The 21,498-nt window shown below is 44.1% G+C and overlaps 1 protein-coding gene across 4 annotated transcripts in view, besides 2 other annotated features; it reads left to right on the forward strand.

The window, feature by feature from the left end:
- Window positions 10,250–10,689: a silencer, noted in NCBI's record as "silent region_13072". NCBI's record gives its function as "represses an Ori minimal core promoter by ATAC-STARR-seq in GM12878 lymphoblastoid cells {active_cell/tissue: GM12878}" and the evidence as "EXISTENCE:reporter gene assay evidence [ECO:0000049][PMID:35858748]".
- Window positions 10,541–21,498, forward strand: part of VAPB (VAMP associated protein B and C) — a 61,873-nt gene continuing 50,915 nt past the window's right edge. For all 4 annotated transcript variants that reach the window (NR_036633.2, XR_001754433.3, NM_004738.5 and 1 more), the window contains exon 1: window positions 10,541–10,829. Coding sequence is in view for 2 of the 4 variants with exons in the window: in NM_004738.5 (NP_004729.1) it covers window positions 10,772–10,829 (58 nt within the window). In the remaining 2 variants the exon portion in view is untranslated. The remainder of the gene's footprint in view (window positions 10,830–21,498) is intronic.
- Window positions 10,950–11,069: a silencer, noted in NCBI's record as "silent region_13073". NCBI's record gives its function as "represses an Ori minimal core promoter by ATAC-STARR-seq in GM12878 lymphoblastoid cells {active_cell/tissue: GM12878}" and the evidence as "EXISTENCE:reporter gene assay evidence [ECO:0000049][PMID:35858748]".

The raw sequence follows: 21,498 nt of genomic DNA on the forward strand, positions 1-21,498 counted from the left end.
TGAGTGATGGGTAAGTGACTGAGGCCATGAAGGATGGGGGGACTTGGACAGCCAGAGGTGGCTGTGTTTCCAAAGGAGGAAAAGGGATGAAGAGGATGACAACAAAGTCACTCATTTCCTTAACACGGTTCAGCATTGTGTGTTCTGGTTGATCAGAGGGTCTGAGTGCCTGAGAGTTTGCCCCCTACAGAAGGAGGTTGGAAATTCAATTTTAAAAATGTTAAACAAGTTTAATTTTAGAATAGTATTTTTTTTGTTGTTTATTTAGAGTATGTTTGGAGTTACAGAAAAGTTGCAAGGATAATAAAGAGACTTTCCATATACACGACACCCAATTTCCCCATTCTTAACATACATTACTGTGGTACATTTGTCAAGACTAATGAACCGTTGTTAATATGATGAATACATTATTGTTAACTCCATATTTTATGCAGATTTTCTTGCTTTTCCTCTAATGTCCTTTCTTTGCTTCTGGATACCACTTTACCTTTACTTGTCATGCCTCCTTGGGCTCCTCTGAGCTGTGACACCTTCTGACACTTCCCTTGTTTTTTATGACCTTGCCCTTGAGAAGTACTAGCCAGTGTTTTATAGAATGTCCTTCAGTTTAAGATTTTCTGATGTTTTTCTTATGACTTGACTGGGGTGGGCTTTGGGGGTGAAGACCGCAAAGGTGAAATGCATTCATATCACATCATATCAAGAGTACCTCCTATCAGCAGGACTTATCAGTAACGATGTTGACCTTGATCACCTGGCTTACCAATGGCTTCCCAGAGTCCCACTGTTAAAGTTGCTTTTCCCCCGACTTTCCATCCTGTAGTCTTTGGAAGAAAGCCGCTAAGTACAGCCCACGGTTAAGGGGTGGAAGTTATGTTCCACGTCCTGGAGGGAGGAGTATCTCTAACATCAATTATTTACAATTTTTCTGTATGGGAGATGTGTCACTTCTACTGTATTTATTATTCAATCATTTATTTGTCATTATAGACTCAAGGATATTTATTTTCTACTTTGATTTGTTTATTTATTTATTTTTGTAGAGACAAAGTCTTGTTATGTTGCCCAGGCTGGTTTTGAACTTCTGGGCTCAAGCGATCCTCCCGCCTTGACCTCTCAAAGTGTTGAGATTACAGGTGTGAGCCACTGTACTCGGCCTATTTTCTACTTTGGGTTATAATCCAATACTATCTTATTTATTTTATTATTCAAATTGTCACAGCTTCAGCCATTGGGAGCTCTTCCAGTTGGTGTCCCTTTGACATGTTATCATTATTTTATCTTTTGAGCACTTCCTTACTTTCTACCTATACAAGAGGTTCCAAGTTCACCTCAAATATTCCCTACCCCAGGCCAAGAATCATCCATATTTCCAAAAAGTCCTGGTTTCCATTTCTGGGGAAATGGTATGAGAAACTAACATCTGGGTCATGGGTGCAACAAAGTGTTTTTAACATGAAAACTTTACTCCGGCGACTTCTGTTTCTGGCAATATGGAGGATTAGACATGCTGAGTGACCCTTCCCATCAAAACAACTCACATGCTGGATAAAATATTGCAAATGCATTGATGAGCCAGCACAAGGAGTGTTCTGAAGCCAAACAGTGAAGGGAAGATTAAGCCCTTAGGGATAAGCTGAGTCCCGAAGCCGGGTTTTTTTTTTGGTTTGTTTTTTGTTTTTTGTCCTGGGGAACTGTGGAAGCCTGTGAACAAGTGATTTAATTTTCTCAGTACTTTAGGTTTTATAGGACAAAAGACAAAGCTCAGGGCCCACCCAAGTTGGGAAGTCTAGCAGGATCCTTCAGTGTACAATGAGCCCAAAACACTGCCCCCAGCCCCAGAGGAAAAGTGTCAGGTGGAGGCACTCAATGAGGGGAAATGGCCAATTATTCTAAGAATCAGGAGCACAGGGTAGGCTTCCCAAAGGTTTGCAGCCCAAATTCACACTACCTGGGTGGTCTGAAAATCTTAAACTGAGACCTGAAAGCTACCCTGGTCAGTGCCCACCCTCCACTTCTACCTGGAATAAGACAAGGCAAAGGCAAATTCTTTCTGGAGGAGCCACCTTCAGCCCAGGTGTGGCTGATTGTATATTCTGCAGACGGCTGGAACAATATTTCCTACACGATGTGCTCTCCTAGAAACTTGCCATGTCCCACCAGGAGGTAGAGTTTCCATCCCCACCCTTTCAAACTGTACAGGTCTCTTGACTGCCTCAAAGGATAAAATGCAGTGAGCAAGTGATCCCACATGACTTCTGAGGCTAGGTTAGAAAAGGTGATACGCCTCCATCTGGGACTCTCTCTCTTTCTCTTTCTCTCTCTGACACTAGCTTGCAAGCCCTGAGCTGCTATGTAAAAAGTCCCGTTACCTGAAGCCTTGATCTGGAGAGACAGCTCAGGGACAAAACATATAAGTCATAGAGAAATGACCACAGAGTCCCAGGTGTTCCCATTGGCTGAACTCTTCCAGCCAGGGGCCAGACCTGTGAGCATGCAAGCCTTCCAATGATTCCAGACTGGATAATGAAGAATTTGGCCTTACCCAGACAGATCTGGCCTTTGTCATGGTGTTTGGGAAGTAATCTCTGGGTCCTCAGAATGTTTTAACTGATAGGAGTGTTCACCTGGTAGCTTGTGTCATACTGGATAGTCATAACAAGGTGATCGGGGGTGGAGGCTGGCCAGATAGCAAGGGGTTGGCTACCAAAGACCAACAGTGCGGCTCAGGGTGGGGACTTGGGATCATGTGATATCAGTTGACCTGGAGACTGAAATCAGTCATGTGGGCAATCAATCAATCATACCTGCATAATAGAGCTTCAGTAAAAACTATGGACACTGAAGTTCAGGCAAGCTTCTATGGTAATACTCCATGCACTTTGTTACACACTAAGAGTCACACATCCTGTATTAGTTTGTTCTCACACTGCTAATAAAGACATACCCGAGACAGGGTAATTGTAAAGGAAAGAGGTTTAGTGGACACACAGTTCTACATGGCTGGGGAGGTCTCACAGTCATGGCAGAAGATGAAGGAAGAACAAAGGGATGTCTTACATGGCAGCAGGCAAGAGAATTTGTGCAGGCAAACTTCCCTTTGTAAAACCATAAGATCTCGTGAGACTTACTCACTATCACGAGAACAGGAAGGGAAAAACCTGCCCCCGTGATTCAGTTACCTCTCACCGGGTCCCTCCTACGACACTTGGGGATTATCACAATTCATGGTGAGATTTGGGTGGGGACACAGAGCCAAACCATATCATACCCTGACTCCATGGGGGAGGGCGACAGAAGCTCCACATTTGGAGCCCTCTGCCCTATGCTCATCTTCCCTTGGCTGATTTGATCTGTATACATTCCCTATAAATAAACCATAACCATGAGTACACTTGCTTTCAGTGAGTTCTGAGGGTTCTTCCAATGAATTATCAAACTGGAGAGTGGTTTGGAGACACCAACAAACTTGTAGTTTGGTGTCAGAGGGAGGGTGATTTAGGAACTATGTCCTTTAACTTTGTAGTTGGCCCTAAACTCCCTGCACAGACCCAGCTGCTATTTTACGAAAGCCACATGAGAGGCTCTGCGTGTGAACCACCCAGCAGAGCCCAGTCAACCCCCACAAGTGTGAGTGAGAATAATTAAATGGTTGTTGATATTTGGGCCGCTAAGTTTTGGAGGTAATTGAAATGCTCGGCCTCCAGGGATTCTCACAGATAAGGTCAAAGACAATAAAACACACAAGGAAACAGGCTGCACTGAGCCAAAGCCCCCAGAAACAATAAAAGTAGAACTGCACACATGTCAGGCACTGAACAGACTGTAAAAATAAGTATGTCTACTATGTTTAAAGAAATAAAAAAGGGATTGGTAGCTATGAAGCTGTTGTCTCTCAGCTCCAAATTAACCCTCTACACCCTGCTCTGACATACTGGGGCTGAGTCTCTGGACATGTCATTTCTCCTCAGTCAGCGGGTTTTCTCTCAGGCTCCACTGGGAGAGGCACTCAAGGAAGACCTGAAATCGGAAGAGGGGAGAAGGGACCAGTCTTTCTTGTCCTGTTCCTGTTCTTGACAGTGTTGCTTCAGCAGTGACCTTTCATCCGAAAGCAGTAGTTGTTCAGTCTCCACGTGGTTTTGGCACTCCCAGAAGCAGCCTCATTGTATCCCCTCAGAGGCCCCAGCCCTGGCCAGCCAGTGATACCTCCTCAGGAGTCCGTGGCCACCTCCATGAAGCCCTCCCACTGAGCTCCTGGGTTCCCATAACCCCAGCATCTTCCCTATGTTCTCTTAACCCTAGGAATGGTAGTTTCTTCCTGCCGTTACTACCCTTGTGATACCTCAGTGTCTTCTTCTTTTGGCTTTGACAGTTCACCATTACCTGTTTAACCAGTTCTTTATACTAAATTATCTTTGTTAAAACAGCTGGTGCAATTTCTGCTTTCCTGGCTGGACCTTGACTAACAGAGCACTTGGTACCAAGAGTGGTCCCAGGAAACAGACTCTCAAAGAAGGGATTCTGGGATTGGATTGGCCACATCCTCATGCTTGACTGCAGTGCCTGTGAAATATGGAATACAAGCACAGGTGTGCTGAATACCAGCTGGTGAGAGCCAGTCACACACACCTCTTTTCAACTCTGTTCAGTGACATCCCATTGGCAGCCTAAAATCAGTCATGGTGGGAGTGTTTATACCATAGAAATCTGCAAAACCTGGCTGGGCATGGTGGCTCACAGCTGTAATCCCAGCATGCTGGGAGGCTGAGTCAGGAGGATCACTTGAGGCCAGAAGTTTGAGGTTATGATGAGCTATGATCATACCACTGCACTCTGTCCTGGGTGACAGAGTGTGACCCTGTCTCAAAAAAAAAAAAAAAAAAGAAATCAACCAACCAACCAAACAAAAAAACAAAGAAAAGGAAATAAAAGGAATCTGCAAAAACTACAGATATTATTTCTCCCCAAGAGAGCCAGTTTATTACACACCAGTGATTACAAGTAATCAATGGCTCATACTGACATCACTACTAATATCATTTGATTGTGACAATGTTCCCACTGAAGTAAGGGCATGGAGAGCCATGGGACTGCCACACTTACATGGTAGTGATGACTTCAGGACCATGGGGTGAGATAGCTATTTCTGAGTTCACTGGAGCTATTATGGAAAGTAAAGGACACGCTCCAATCTTTAAACTCTCAGCTTAACTCACAGAGAACCAGAGAGATTCTACAGAGCCCTAAAATAATCCTTTATTTCTTGTAGTTGTAGATTTTTTTTTTTTTTTGAGATGGAGTTTTGCTCTTGTTGCCCAGGCTGGTGTGCAATGGCATGATCTCGGCTTACTGCAACCTCCGCCTCCCGGATTCAAGCAGTTCTCCTGCCTCAGTCTCCCAAGTAGCTGGGATTACAGGCAGCTCCCACTACGCCCAGCTAATTTTTTGTATTTCTAGTAGAGACGGGGTTTCACTATGTTGGCCAGGTTGGTCCTAAACCCCTGACCTCAAGTGATACACCCGCCTCAGCCTCCCCAAGTGCTGGGATTACAGGCGTGAGCTATCGCACCTGGCCTAGCTGTAGATTTTTGACCTTGCTGAAAATTATACTCAAACTTTAATTGGGTGGGCTGCAGGATTACAACATAAATGGAATTCACACATTTAGCAGAATCTCAAGCAGTGTGTTTGGCTGTGTACTTTGTGTGGCTGAGAAATGACCAAGAGCACAGAGGTGCACGGGCCCCTGGGTAATGGATGATCAGGGACGGAGAGAGCAGATGTGGATGTGTGGTGAGGAGGTCTGGGAGGAGGTACTAGATACCTCTCAGGATGGGTGTGAAGACACTGGTGTCTCGGCCAAGCGCTGTGGCTCATGCCTGTAATCCCAGCACTTTGGGAGGCCAAGGCGGGTGAATCATGAGGTCAGGAGTTCGAGACCATCCTGGCCAACATGGTAAAACCCCGTCTCTACTAAAAATACAAAAAATAGCCGGGCGTGGTGGTGGGCGTCTGTAATCCCAGCTACTTGGGAGGCTGAGGCAGGAGAATTGCTTGAACCCAGGAGGTGGAGGTTGCAGTGAGCCGAGTTCGTGCCACTGCACTCCAGCCTGGGCAACAGAGCAAGACTCCGCCTCTAAATTAAAAAAAAAAAGACACTGGTGTCTCATGTGAATGCCCACTCAAAGACATCTACTGCAGCAGCAACTCTATTAATTGAGTGGACAAGAGGGCACATTCTGCAGACAACAGTCAGTCTTTCCCACAGCTGTGCCATTGCGTGCTCAATGAGCTTATTTATGCAGTGGCCATGGTGGCAGGTGTGGAGGCTCTGTATGGGCTTAGGAACATGGGCTTCCCCTTACCAAAGTGACCCGGCAGAAGAGACCAACACTAAAGCTTTGTTATGGCACCATTCCCTGGGGGAGGGCAGAGGAGCTGGGAACCAGTGTTAAAAAACCTATAAATGTGGCCAGGCACAGTGGCTCATGCCATTAATCTCAGCACTTTGGGAGGCTGAGACGAGCGGATTGCATAAACTCAGGAGCTCGAGACCAGCCTGGGTAATGTGGTGAAATCCCATCTCTACAAAACTTTCAAACATTAGCCGGGTGTGGTGGTGCCTACCTGTAGTTTCAGCTACTCGGGAGGCTGAGGTGGGAGGATGGCTTGAGCCCATGAGGTAGAGGCTGCAGTGAGCCAACATTACACCACTAAACTCCAGCCTGGGCAACAGAGGGAGACCTTGTCTCAAATAATAATTAAAAAAAAAGAAAAAACACAACCTATAACTACTTGGATATGTAAAAGAACAAAATAGAACTTATAGGCTTAAAAAAAAATAAACAAAATGAAAAACTCCTGAAACAGGTTTATCAATAGCCTAAGAGATAATTAGTGACTAGAAGAAAGATCTGAAGAACTATCCAGAACGTGGAACATAAAGAGGACAGATTAAGATGTGATAGAGAGGTTAATAGACATGGAGAAGGGCACAAGACTTTTCTCTTTTTCTTTCACAATCCACAGTAATAAATGTATTTTAGTTGTGACTCACTCCATAGATATGTGTATATTAATAAATACAACTGAAACAAAAGATTCATGAAATAATACAATACACTCCAATATATTATATTCTCGTTCTTTCTCAACACTGGTAACAATCTACTACATTGATTTTATAAGCCACTGTTGGAAAACAACCTACAGTTTGAAAAATATTAGTTGAATAACTACTAATCACACTACAAGATGTAAAGAGTGAGAGAACGAGGTTGAGATAACATTTATTTTTATTTCTTCTTTTTTTGAGACAGGATCTCACTCTGTTACCCCAGGCTGGAGTGCAATGGTATAATGGTTCACTGCAGCCTCCACCTCCTGGGCTCAAGTCCTCCCACCTCAGCCTCCTGAGTAACTGGGATTACAGGCATGCACCACCATGCGTGGCTAATTTTTTTTTTTTTTTTTTTGTATTTTTTGTGGAGATGGGGTTTTACCATGTTGCCCAAGCTGGTCTTGAACTCCTGGATTCAAGCAGTCTGCCCGCCTTGACCTCCTAAATTGCTGAGACTACAGGCATGAACCACTGTGTCCATCCAAGATAACATTTAACAGAGATATTGTCACGTATGATACAACACGGATGAACTTTGGGGACTTTATGCTGGGCAAAATAAGCCAGTCACAAAACGACAAGTATTGTATGATTCTGCTTACAAAAAGTACCTAGACTAGTCAAATTCACAGAGGCAGGATGTGGAATGATGGTTGCCAGGGGCTTAGGAGAGGGAGCATGGGGAATGATTGCTTAAGGGGTACAGAGTTCTAGTTTTGCAAGATGAAGGGAGCTCTAGAGATGGATGATGGTGAGGTCGCACCACAATAGGAATCTTGTTAATACCACTGGATACTTAAAAATGATAGAGAGTAAATTTTATGTGATGTGTATCTTACCACAATAAAAAAGTAAAATTAAATTGAAAAAAAAAAAGTATTGTCTGAGAGTTTTCAAGAATAATGAAAGACACCAATCATCAAATTCAGAAAGCCCAAAGAACTCAAGGCAGGATAAATAAAAAGATAACAGCATGAGCTGGGCATGGTGGCTCACGCCTGTAATCCCAACTTTTTGGGAGGTCGAGGTGGGTGGATTACCTGAGGTCAGGAGTTTGAGACCATCTGGCCAACATGGCAAAACTCTGTCTCTACTGAAAACACAAAAATTAGCTGGGCATGGTGGTGCGTGCCTGTAATCCCAGCGACTCAGGAGGCTGAGGCAGGAGAATCGCTTGAACATGGGAGGCGGAGGTTGCAGTGAGCTGAGATGGCGTCACTGCACTCCAGACTGGGGGACAGAGCGAGACTCCGTCTCAAAAAAAAAAAAAAAAAAAGATACAGCATGGTAAAACTGTAGAACATGAGAAGAGGGAGAAAAGACCAACAACCTATGAAGGAACGATGTTAAGATTGTCACTGGACTCCTGAGGAGCAATGAGGGGGAACAGGCAAACAGTGGATGGCAATCAAGTGTGCTGAGAGAGGACAGCTGTCATTCAAGCAAGCAAGCCAAAATATCTGTCAAGAACAAGGGCAAGGCCAGGCGCAGTGGCTCATGCCTGTAATCCTAGCACTTTGGCGGCTGAAGCAGGAGGATCACTTGAGCCCAGGAGTTTGAAACCAGCCTGGGCAACATAGTGAGATTTTACAGAAAATAAAAAAATTAGCTGGGCGTGGTGGTGCATGCTTTTAGTCCCAGCTACACCGGAGTCTGAGGTGGGAGGATTGTTTCAGCCTGGGAGATACAGGTTGCAGTGAGCCACGATCATGCCACTGCACTCCAGCATGGGCAACAGAGCAAGACCTCATCTCCAAATAAATAAATAAATAAAATAAAAACAACAAAAGGCAAAAATGAATCCATTTGCAGATGAGCAGAAACTGAGAGGATTTGCACCAACGAAGCTACAAAAAAATAAAATTTAAAGGATTTACCTCAGGCAAAAGGAGAGTGATCCTGTTGGTGAAAGCTGAGATGCAAGAAGAAAAGGTGGATAAAAATGGTAATTGTGTGGCTGAATCTAAACTAATGTTGACTGAATAAAACAATTTAGTAATGTCTCTTGGGGTTACAGTGGCAAAGGTTAAACTTAACATACACTACATTAAGGTGTATAATTTAGAGGATGGGTGATTAAAGTACTCCAAAGTCTTTATATTTTAAGGAAACAGGGTAAAGACATTTTTACAAATATTTAAAGATATTGGACTTTCACAAGGTAAGTATGCATGCCCAAAAGTTTGAAGTAACCACTAAAACTTAGAAATAGAGTATACAGGTGAAGAAAATCAGAATGAGAATAAAAATAAACCCTAAAGAAGAAAGGAAAGGGGAAAAAAACCAGGCAGGACAAATAGAAATAACAAAATACAATGGTAGAAATAATTCCAGATATATCAGTAAATATAATAAATGTAAATGGACTAAATGCTCCAGTTAAAATACAAAGACTATTCTTTTAAAAAACCTTTTTATCATGAAAAATTTCAAGTATACAGCAAAGTGGGAGAAACAGTACAAGAAAACCATATACCTGCGATGTAGAGTCAGCCATTGCTAGCAATTTGCCACATTTGTCTCACCTATATGGGTATGTATAGGAGACTATTAAGAACACCTATTTAACTTCCATAGTAAACATAATATAATGAAATACAATTTAAACGGTAATCATGATGTAGAGTATCCACTTTTGAGGTCAAGCAGATCTGGATTCTCCAGCAATTTTTAATTATTTAACTTACGTGTGTGGTTATTTATTCAAAAGATGTCTCTTCACTAGGCTATAGTAAAAGGATTGGAATCAGGTTCGCTTTTCTGATCATTGTATTTCTAAATATTTGTTGCATAAACAAATAGAATTTACTAGTAAAGAATTCAGCACAGTGCCAGTTGCATAGTAAACATTTAACGTAGAGTAGCTTGTATTTATTGTAGTTGCTGTTGTTATTGGAAGCATTCAGTAGAGTGATACAAAATAAATAAGCAATAATTGGTAGTTTATTATATTTATAATTATTATTTACAAGACGTCACAGTGCCTAGCCCATATCACTCACCCATAAACATTATACTTATACTAAGTACTTTCACTATTATTCAAAGTCTCTAACAGTGCCTGGCACTACATAAGCAAGAGAAAAGTGGAAGTTTATTCTAATTGTTATTATTGAATAAAGCACTTAACACGAAGCTGGCCCCCAGCGGGCCCTTAATAGTTTCCGCGGTGGCTGTCGTAGCTGGACTACAGACCCCGCCTCCTGAGCGGCCCGAAGCCCCGCCCCTTACTGCCCCGCAGTCCCGCCCCCGTGGCTTGTGCCGCGCCTGCGCACTGTCCCGGAAGGGGCTCTACGCGCGCAGCTTTAGTCCCCGCCCCTGGAGCCGGCGGCGCAGGGCGCAGCTTCCCGCCGCCAGAGCGGGCCAGCCTGCTGCGTGCGTGCGTGTGTACGACTCTGCGTGCGTGCGTGCGTGCGTGCGTGCCGTCAGCTCGCCGGGCACCGCGGCCTCGCCCTCGCCCTCCGCCCCTGCGCCTGCACCGCGTAGACCGACCCCCCCCCAGCGCGCCCACCCGGTAGAGGACCCCCGCCCGTGCCCCGACCGGTCCCCGCCTTTTTGTAAAACTTAAAGCGGGCGCAGCATTAACGCTTCCCGCCCCGGTGACCTCTCAGGGGTCTCCCCGCCAAAGGTGCTCCGCCGCTAAGGAACATGGCGAAGGTGGAGCAGGTCCTGAGCCTCGAGCCGCAGCACGAGCTCAAATTCCGAGGTAAGCCCCAGAGGCCGCCACCTTCCTGCCCGCGGCCTCCGCCCCAGTGCTGGAAGGACGGAGCCCGGCGCGGCGGGTGACGTCGGCCCTCGTCCCCACCCCGACGGCGCTGTCGCGGGGGGCGGCGAGGCCGGGCCGGGCCTTGGCGCTCGCCGCGCTCCCCAGAACTGCCCGGAGTGGCCGGGACCCGAGAGGGCTGGTGCGGGAGCCGGGGCCTGCGCCTCCTCCCCGACCCCCAGCCTCCTGGGACTTGCCTTCGAGGCACTTGTCACTTTGTAACTTACCAGTTTGTGATCCTCTCTAGTGTGAGCCTCCGCCGCTGCCTTTGCCTAGAAGTTTCTTCCCCTGCTCCGTGACAGTGTTGACCTCAGGGCTTAGTTGAGGTGTCAGCTGCTCAGAGAGGCCTGCTGTGACCACCCAGCCACCGTGCACACCTGCTGTCATTCCCTATTCCGTCACTGTTTCGTGGTCAGCACGGCACTTTTCATACCCAAAATCACTGTTTCAATACTAGAAGGGAAACTGCATGAGGACAGGCTCTTGTCAGTTCGCTGCTGTGTACCCAGCACACATTATACGCCTAGTAAATAAATACCTGTTGAACCAACAGATGAACATGTTGAACCAACAAATGAACCTCCTCAGGACTTCTGATGGGATTGGGCCCATTTTCCTTTCACTGCGTCCCTCATGCTGTCTCCTGGTTGCGGTGCAAGGAGGCTGCCACGGTGCTGGGATCCTTTTTCTCCGCAGAGCTGTCTGGAGCAACACCTGCGGCGATGGGAAGCCATGACCCTGGTTTCTCCCAGATACTATTACCTCTGTAATTTGTGCCTTTATGTTTTCTATGTTGTTACTTTTGTTTTTTTTTTTTTTTTCCTACCTTCACCAGGGCCACGAGGTAAAAGTTCTTGTCTGACATGCTCATTCTTTCTTTTTGCGTGTATCCAGTGATGTGGGAGGCTCTGGGGAGGTGATGGATGCACAAGACAGATAAGGCCTCTGCTCTCACAGAGCTTACCTTCCGACGAGGACAGACAAACCAACACACAAGATCATTGCAGATAGTGCTAAGTGCTGTGTAGGAAATGGAACAGTCTGACTCCATGGAAGCGTACTTTAGATTGGAAGGCCGGGTCTCCACTATATCGCTAGCACCGGACTCACAGTAGATGCTCAGTTGGTATTTATGAATGAATGAATGGCCAGAGGCTCTCCAGTTTATATGTCCTATTGGGAAGTAGTGTAGGGTAACTTACCCAAAGTTACCCAGTTGGCAAATGGTACATTTGAACCCAGACTTCAGAGTTCACGCTCTTAACCGTTTTGCTGTCTGATCGCTGGGAAATACTCCAGAACGGTGGCTGTCACTTTGCCTTCCAAGTTAACAATGTGAAATAACTCTGAATTTACAGAGAACCAAAGGCTTTCCAATTAAAATGAAAAAACCGAAAAACCCCACCAAACCTACCGTGGATTGTAATTCCAGGATAGTACTTGAGCTTTCATGATGTTCTCATGGCCTTCTGGGGATGCCAGATTGGGAAAGAAGTCCAGGTAGCTAAAGTGAAAATAGTGAGCCTTAGTTTCCACTTGAGTTGTCTGAAGTTCTTTCTCTATCTGGGAGGCCTGGCTTGGCTTCTCCTGATAATTGGTGGGTTCATTCGGTTAGTCCACAAACATTTACTGAGTACCTGATCTGTGTGTCAGATACCCAGAGAAGCCAAGTTATATCAGCTGTACTCTCCTATTTTCCCTCAACCTCCTCCCAGTACTTTAGGGAAGGGGGCAGATGAGAATAACAGCCAGGACAGGACAATGATGTAGGGTAGTCCAGAGTGCTCCAGGAGCATTGAGGAGGTCAACTCCTGAAAGAGGTGTCATTTGAGCTCAGTTATAAAGGTCGAGTAGAAGAAGGCTCAAAGAAGGAAAGGGTGGGGAACATTTCAGACAGAGGAAATTGCATGCACAGAGGCACAAACACTGAGATGACTGGGCTCCTTTGGGATGCCACTAGTAGTTTTTTTTTTTTTGAGATAGAGTTCTCACTCTGTCACCCAGGCTGGAGTGCAGAGGCGCCATCTCACTGCAGCCTCTGCCTCCCAGGTTCAAGTGATTCTCCTGCCTCAGCCTCTTGAGTAGCTGGGATTACATACAGGCATGTGCCACTACGCCTGGCTAAATTTTGTATTTTTAGTAGAGACGGTGTTTCACTATGTTGGCCAGGCTGGTCTCAAACTCCGGACCTCAAGTGATCCGCCCTCCTTGGCCTCTCAAAGTGCTGGGATTACAGGCGTGAGCCCGGCCACCACTAGTGGTTCTGAATGACAGCAACAAAGAACATTTGTTGTGGTTGCCTGGCAAGATGGGAGACAAGGCTGGTGAGTAGACAAGAGTCAGATCTCAGTCCCTTTATGCATAGATGCAGCCAGTGTCCAAGTTAAAATTGTGTTGCTTCTCCTTGAGCAGTCCTTCCTTGCATTAACTTTCTGAAAACCCCCAAATCCCAGTACAAACTCTGTTGTCTAATATGTTATGGAAAGAGGCACTCATTTGAGAAAATTTAAGATTTTGTTCAATTGTTTTACTGAAAGATGTGTGACCTTAGGCCACTTCACTCCTCAAAGCCTGGGGTGGTTATTCGGTCAATGGGGATGATGCTCGTGTCCACGTTGCCTCTTGTAGAACGTGTTTAGAAGGAATGACATGGCTGTTAGTGGCTTTGTAAGTGCATAGTACTATACAGAGATTAGACAACCACTTAACTACTTAAGTGGTTTCATCACTTCTGTACCTGAAAGGTGTGGCAGAGAATAGCGATCATTCTGGCCCTGGATTGGCCAAAGTAATTATGCCAAAGTCACTGGATATTTTTGCTAGGGAAGTGGTCCAAGAGAAGTGGTACCAAATTGTTGAAGGCCTCTGGCTCATAACTTTAGAAGAGACATCTGTGTGTGTTCTTAAATGACGTCATGAGGTGTGTTGTTTGTTTGTTTTAAACTGAATGCTAAGACAGTACAATTAATAGAGACTGAATACCCTGACTTAGAGATAATTCATTTCAGGATGAGAAATGGCACATTTAACTGGTTTCTTCCAGGTTACTCAGGGTGACGACTCTGATTTCTGGTCGTTCACCTAGATGAACCTCTGAGCTAACTTTACTTGAGAAGGTAATAACTAAAATGCCCATTCAAAGGAAAAATTATCTTTTAAATGCAGCCTAAGTTGATCGTATGGGATTGTATATTGTCAGACTCTTTAATCTTGGGAATTTTGTGTGGTATGTTAAATTTAAGGATGTTACAGAAGAAAAAGAATGCAAATTTATATGACTTTATGCAGTTTTATAGGAAGTACTATGCTGCATCATAAATATCAAAAGGAGAAAGCCTGGTGGCTTCCTGAAAGAAGCATGACACAGGAGGATTTGCCTAGACTTAAGGTTGACTTTCATGAGATATTTTTAGTAAGTGAACATTAAGCTCTTTCAGACTAGGGGTATCTTTCTGAGAGAGTAAATGTTTTTGTTTTTTGGCAGGGTCTTGCTCTGTCACCCAGGCTGGAGGGCAGTGGTGCCATCATAGCTCACTGTAGCCTCAAACTCCTGGGCTCAAGAGATCCTCCTGCTTTAGGTTCCCTGGTAGCTAGGACTACAGATGCCACCATTCCTGGCTAATTTTTAAATTTTTTTGTAAAGATAGAGTCTTGCCATGTTGCCCAGGCTGGTCTTGAATTCCTGGCCTCAAGCAGTCCTCCCGCCTCAGCCTTCCAAAGTGCTGGGATTACAGGCATGAGCCACTGCATGCAGCCTAAGTGTGTGTTTTCTTTTATATTTCTTTTTGTCTTTTTCACTAAGTCATAGGAGTTTTTTAAAATTGTCACTCTTTCTGTTGATCTCAGTTCTTCCAAGTCCTAATCGTTTCCTTGCCATCTCCTCACTCTGAGATCCCACTTGTTGTCCAGCTCAAAGAGAGCTTTCCGAATGAGTCACTTTCAAGGCATTATATAGCACTCTTCTTTCATTCCCTTCTCCCTCCCCTTCCATGAGAGTCCATCTGTGGTAAATAGTATGTCATATATTTTTTGGTCGTTCAGGACTCTAGATCATTCCTTACATCCTAGCCCATTCCCCCAGCAATGATACTGTCACATGGAAATGGTCTGTTGAACATCCATCCTCACTAGGTTAAGGTTTGTTTTGTTTTGTTTTGTTTTGTTTTGTTTTTTTTGAGATGGAGTTTGGCTCTTGTTGCTCAGGCTGGAGTGCAATGGCGCGATCTTGGCTCACCGCAACCTCCGCCTCCCGGGTTCAAGCACTTCTCCTGCCTCAGCCTCCCGAGTAGCTGGGATTACAGGCATGCGCCACCATGCCCGGCTAATTTTGTACTTTCAATAGAGACAGGGTTTCTCCCTGTTGGTCAGGCTGGTCTCGAACTCCCGACCTCAGGTGATCCACCCACCTCGGCCTCCCAAAGTGCTGGGATGATAGGTGTGCGCCACTGCACCCAGCCGGTTAAGGTTTAAACATAACTGTGGATGCATTTACTTTTGCTTTATTGCTTGACTGAACCAATGACCTTCAAGAAGTCTTAGATAGTCCTGCCATTAGTAGGGATCTCAGATGGGAGGGCACCAATGAATCAGTGTAGTTGAGTACCACTTTTGGGAGAAAATAGAAACTTGGACACTCTAAATGATAGTTTAAGGACGTTGTTTGTTTTGTTTTGTTTTTTGTATGGGAAAAGTTGGCTTAGACTCTTTAGTTCAGCCCTTCAAGTTGATGTGTAATTTAAGATTGTTTAGGAAGTTAAAAAATCTAAAGCCCTGTGGATATAGTTCATTCAGTGCAGTAATTATCTTTCAGATGCCAAGTACAGCATTAATTCTTTAGCTTTAGCATGGCACTGATTTTCTTAACACTTCATGATCACGTGGAGCAGACTGTGCTTTACAGCACAACAGAGCGTCAGCCATGTGCTGAAGATTCTTCGTGGTAGTGGTTTAGATCCACCCTGAATAGATTATCTTCATTTATTTAATTATTAAGTAGCTTGCTTATCAAAAGCGGCATTAAACTTACTAAACTTGAGTCAAACGTAAATCTTCATAGATAGTACCATTTACTTCTGAAATCTTGTTCCTGGGAGAAAAATGTGGACTGGAAGTTAACTTTCTTTTATCCACCTATTCACTCCTTTTTCTTCACAGTTAACTCCTTAGGGGAAAAAATGTATAGTTCTTGACCATGTGCTTATGTTTGTAAAGCAATGATGTTTCCTTAACGTGAGTGGTTGTGACATAGATCACTGTTATCTTCATAATTACCTGGGAGCTTTTCATCCAAGTGTGGATTTACTAAAATAATTAGTCTGAATTGATGCTTATTAAAGAGCTGAACTCTTAAACGTTAACACTATCTTGTATTTATTAAAATTGTATGCATGTTTCCTTCAAATGCTGAAGGCAGAATACTGAGAACTTTGACCCTGTGTTATTATCGCTAAGTAGTTGAAAATTAGGGGAGGAGTCAAGGGAGTATATTATATTGGTTATCACTCAAATACTACCCCTAGGCATGATTTTTAGAACCGAAACTTGAATTTTTACATAAAGAATTATCTCCAAAAGTGTCTTTTTTTTTTTTTTTTTTGAGATGGAGTCTTGCTCTGTTGCCAGGCTGGAGTGCAATGGCACTATCTCGGCTCACTGCAACCTCCGCCTCCTGGGTTCAAACGATTCTCCTGCCTCAGCCTCCCGAGTAGCTGGGACTACAGGCACATGCCACCATGCCTAGCTAATTTTTGTATTTTTAATAGAGACGGGGTTTCACCATGTTGGCCAGATGGTCTCGATCTCTTGACCTCGTGATCCGCCCACCTCGGCCTCCCAAAGTGCTGGGATTACAGACATGAGCCTCTGCGCCAGGCCAAGAGTGTCTTATATATCCCCACTTTTTTGAAAAATTTGCTGTCTAAAGGATGATCATGATTTGGGACGAATGAGCACAGCTTTCAACTAGATGACAAGAAAGATGAATACAAAGAGTGCTGAGTTCCATTAGTCAAGACAAGGTTGCCATAGAATGTCTTTAATAAAATAAAACAAAAGCCTTTTGCGTTATTTTGCACCGAGGATTGTGTTAAAAACAAAGTTGCATTATGGTTTCCAGATTGGCATCCTTGTTTTTTTCTATCATTTTAGGCCCCTTTCAGGCTGTTATCAGCATAGCATATCCAGGATTGCTTTGGCCTTGCTCAGTGGGTATGTGCGTTCTTTGAAGTTCTTACCTGACAGATGTGGGCAGCTGGCTTTACACAAGGAAGAGTTGTTTAAAGAGCTTTGGTATGGAAACAAAGTTACTAAACTTGACAGTCACTTGAGGATTATTTAAAAAACAAACAAAATAACTGAATGTGGTAAAATACTATCTCTAGAATATTTTTCAAACTGTTAAATGCATCCTTTTAACAGAAGCTGTTGATGTCTACAAACACTGTCTTTGTAGACAAAGACAAACCCCCCTTGCATGGGGGTTTGGGGGTTGGGAAGCAGTTGAGAAAATGGCATAGTCCCGTGAGAAAACCTTGGAATACTTTCTTTTAATAACATTTTTTTATTGCATAGAACTGTAAAGCTACAGAAATGCTTTCTTGGAGTTTTCCTTCATCCTTTCAGAAGGGCTAATATTGACCTTTGGTTAGCATGTTAGTATTTTCACCTGTGTCAAGTGATGTCTTCACGCTTTTGGGGGGTGTGTGTGTGCATGCCCACCTCGTGTTGTGTAGGGCACATTGGCCGATACCTATAATGTGTTTCAATTACTACATTGTTGGCATTTCAGTAGGCTCCTTCAGCCTTTGCCCATCTGGGAAGTGGAGACTAGGGCAATAAATGTTTTAGGGGTAGATTGAGACTGCAGTGTTTTTCATCTTTTAGCTTGTACTTTAAGACAATGGGATGTACCCCTAGACCATTTACCTAGATTTAAATTACTTCCTTGTGATGTGGTTTAGAGCTCTAAGTTCCTTGAGTTGTCTTGAAAGGCTGAAGGGTGCTCAGAGAATGGAGGGGAATTGAAAATGGAACCTAAGGATCTGGGAGTGGTCATATGTGTGAGTGGTGAAATGTGCCCCCCAACACCCCGTTGGGTCGGGTCTGGAGTTAAAAGCAGTGGCTGACATACATTTTGCAATATAAGGGTAAAGAAAGGTAAAGAAGGAACAAACATTTCTAGAGGATAAATGCTTTAATTCCAGAAGATAGGCCACACAGTTTAGGAACTGTGGTAAGAGGTGCTTTGCCATATTTATGTTACTGTTTAATCTGTGTAACAATCGTATGAGATGACTTAGTCAGTGGCTAGGTAACTTTCTGCTGGATGAGGCTGCACTAGTAAATGGTGGCACAGGCAAAGCCTTGTACTTTCCCTCATACCAGTATCAGCTCATTAGAGTTAACTCATAAAGGGGTTTGTTCTTGAGAGAGGGAGGCAGAGAATTTAAAACCATTAATGAAGTATTAATAGCTGTCAGGACAATTTCTTAAGAACATCAATTCATTAAGAGTTATTCTCTGAATTTTTTAGGAGGGATTTCTTGCCCTACTTTTGAAAAAGTTCAGACAGATGACTCCAAAGAATGTTTGATTTCTCTTGTGAATATTCACTTTTATATCAGATTCTGATGGTTTCTTGATTCTATATATTTAGAAAGCATTCGGCCGGGCATGGTGGCTCATGCCTGTAATCCCAGCACGTTGGGAGGCTGAGGCAGGCAGATCAACTGAGGTCAGGAGTTCGAGACCAGCCTGACCAACATGGAGAAACCCCATCTCTACTAAAAATACAAAATTAGCCGGGCATGGTAGCGCATGCCTGTAATCCCAGCTACTTGGGAGGCTGAGGCAGGAGAATCGCTTGAACCTGGAAGACGGAGGTTGCGGTGAGCCGAGATCCCGCCATCGCACTCCAGCCTGGGCAACAAGAGCAAAACTCTGTCTCAAAAAAAAAAAAAAACAAAACACATTAACTTGTGGGTAATTTGTCCTTCTGCTATCCAGTCTTTGGAAGGCAGGGCAAAGCTTGTGTGTGGTAGAGATTTCATAGGCTTGCAGGTTTGTAGAGTGGGAATTCAAGAAGTTGTAAAGGGCACTTATTAAGATAGGAATGTCTAAAATAAATGATCTTTAGCAGTGCCACCTTAAACTTTGTAAGTGTTGCTACAAAACCTTTAGTTCTGCATGCTCCTGACCAGCCATTGCCTTGGACAGAGAAACAAATAAGGGTGAGTTAATAAACTAGAGACTTGTCTCAATTGTTCAAAGAGGTAAACTTAAGGTGATTAAAAAGTGCTGTTTTATTCTGTATGAGATACACTTTGGGAAGTCGTCATTTTCCAAGACGATGATACGCCAGGCATACGAATTGGATCAGAAAGGATTTAGAGACATGCATGGATATAATGATCTCTTACAGATGTTCCTCACCTTACAGCGGAGTTACATCCTCAGAAACCCATTGTCAGTTGAAAATATTATAAGTTGAAAACATATTAGATACAGCTTAACCTACCCAACATCATAGCCTTGTCTACCTTAAACATACTCAGAACCCTTAAGTTAGCCTCCAGTTGCACAAAGTCATCTAGCACAAAGCCTATTGTATGATAAAGTATTGAATATCTCATGTACTGCATATTACTAGCCTGGGAAGAGATCAAAATTCAAAATATGTCAAAATTATGATGGCTTCACACCATTGTAAAATTGAAAAATCGCAAGTCAAACCAATCGGGGATTGTCTGTACATAAGAGATGATTGTCCAAATTAGAGCTGTTTTGGGTTTCTGCCCTTTGCAGATCCTTTGAGGTTTTCTTTATAGACAGATGACTCCTTCTGGGGGAATTGAGCGTGACTCTGATTGAGATTTGGTTCAGTTACCACATACTGAAAGCTTCCTGTGGGCCAGGCACTAGGTTGCACTGGGGACCTGGGAGGAAGGCCTAGCCCTTAAAGTTTCCAGCCTCTAGGTATTGGGAGACGAGGGAAAATGGGGACAAGATATTTATGGCCTGTCCTTATTGAGAGCTTAGAAAAAGCTGTGTTAATTCTGCTTTGGGTGTTCGATCTCACAGGGAAGATGGCATTTGAGATATGTGACTTGGCGAGCTTACACTGTGCGCTTGCCATTTTTCTAAGCGTTCATTTATTTAATTCTTAATGCAAGCCTAGGAAGTGGGTACAGTTATGATCCTGAAGTTATTAACCCAAGTTATGAACCTGACTGAGGGTTGGAGCTGGGATTTGAATCAAGATCTGTCTGATTGCAAAGGCTATGGCTTTTTTTTTTTTTGTCGTCATGCTGGCTGTGTTTCTTCCCTTAAAAGATAAGTGGGAGTGTGCCCTTGGCTTTCTTATTTATTATGTTAGGAAGATGAGAGGAGGAGTGAGACTAGAGAAAGAGGCTTGAAAGAGAAATGGGATAGAAAAATAAAGGAAAAGGCTGGGCACAGTGGCTCACACCTGTAATCCCAGCACTTTGGGAGTCTGAGGTGGGTGGATCACCTGAGGTCAGGAGTTCGAGACCAGCGTGACCAACATAGTGAAACCCCATCTCTACTAAAAATACAAAAGTTAGCCGGGCGTGGTGGTGCATGCCTGTAATCCAGGTACTGGGGAGGCTGAGGCAGGAGAACCGCTTCAGCTGGGGAGGTGGAGGTTGCAGTGAGCCGAGATCGTGCCATTGTACTCCAGCCTGGGCAACAAGAGCAAAACTCCGTCTCAAAAAAAAAAAAGAGAGAAAAAGAAAGAAAAAGTGCCTTATTATAATTGTAGTCTTGTAATTGTCTCGTTGGCACCTCTTACATAAAGTGCAGTTGCTCTGGGACATTAGAATGACTGTGACTGACTTTTAATCTTTGCCAGCCATGGTGGCTCACGCCTGTAATTCCAGCTTTGGGAGGCTGGGGTGGGTGGATCGCTTGAGCTCAGGAGTTTGACACCAGCCTGGTCAACATGGTGAAACCCCTCTTTACTAAAAATACAAAAGTTAACCAGGCTTGGTGGTGTATGCCTGTAATCCCAGCTAATCCGGAGGCTGAGGGGCAGGAATCGCTTGAACCCAGGAGGGCAGAGGTTGCAGCTAGCTGAGATTGTGCCTCTGCACTCCAGCCTGGGCTGAGAGTGAGACCGTCTCAAAAAAAAAAAAAAAAAAATCCTTCTATGAATTCTGTGTTTCCCCCTAAGAACTTCTGTCCTAACTTGATCACTTCTTATTGTGAGCTATTTGTTTATTAGTGTTGAAAATTCTGTGCTAATACTATCAACTGTACCTTCCCTTCCACCACCCCACTCTCTGCTCCAAGTCTTTCATGTCCTCAATACCTGTCGTGCAAACTATGCATTTCTGGGTTAACTGGGTACTATTTTAGTCTTTTAGTTCCATCACTCAGCATTTACAATATAGTAGAAAAATGGAAGAAATGGAAAGGTACGTACTCGAGAAATCAGTGTTATGGCCATCTCCATTTTAGAGATGAGAGGCCTTTGCAGAAGGCCTTTGCGAAGACTTTACAGAATGTGAATTTGTACCCGGGTCTTACAGCCTCCCAAGCCTGTGTGCTTTGCATTACAAAGCGAATCTGTGGTTCCTAGCATTGCTGTCACCTA

This window comes from Homo sapiens, chromosome 20 (genome assembly GCF_000001405.40).
Source record: "Homo sapiens chromosome 20, GRCh38.p14 Primary Assembly".
Taxonomy (NCBI): Eukaryota; Metazoa; Chordata; class Mammalia; order Primates; family Hominidae; genus Homo; species Homo sapiens.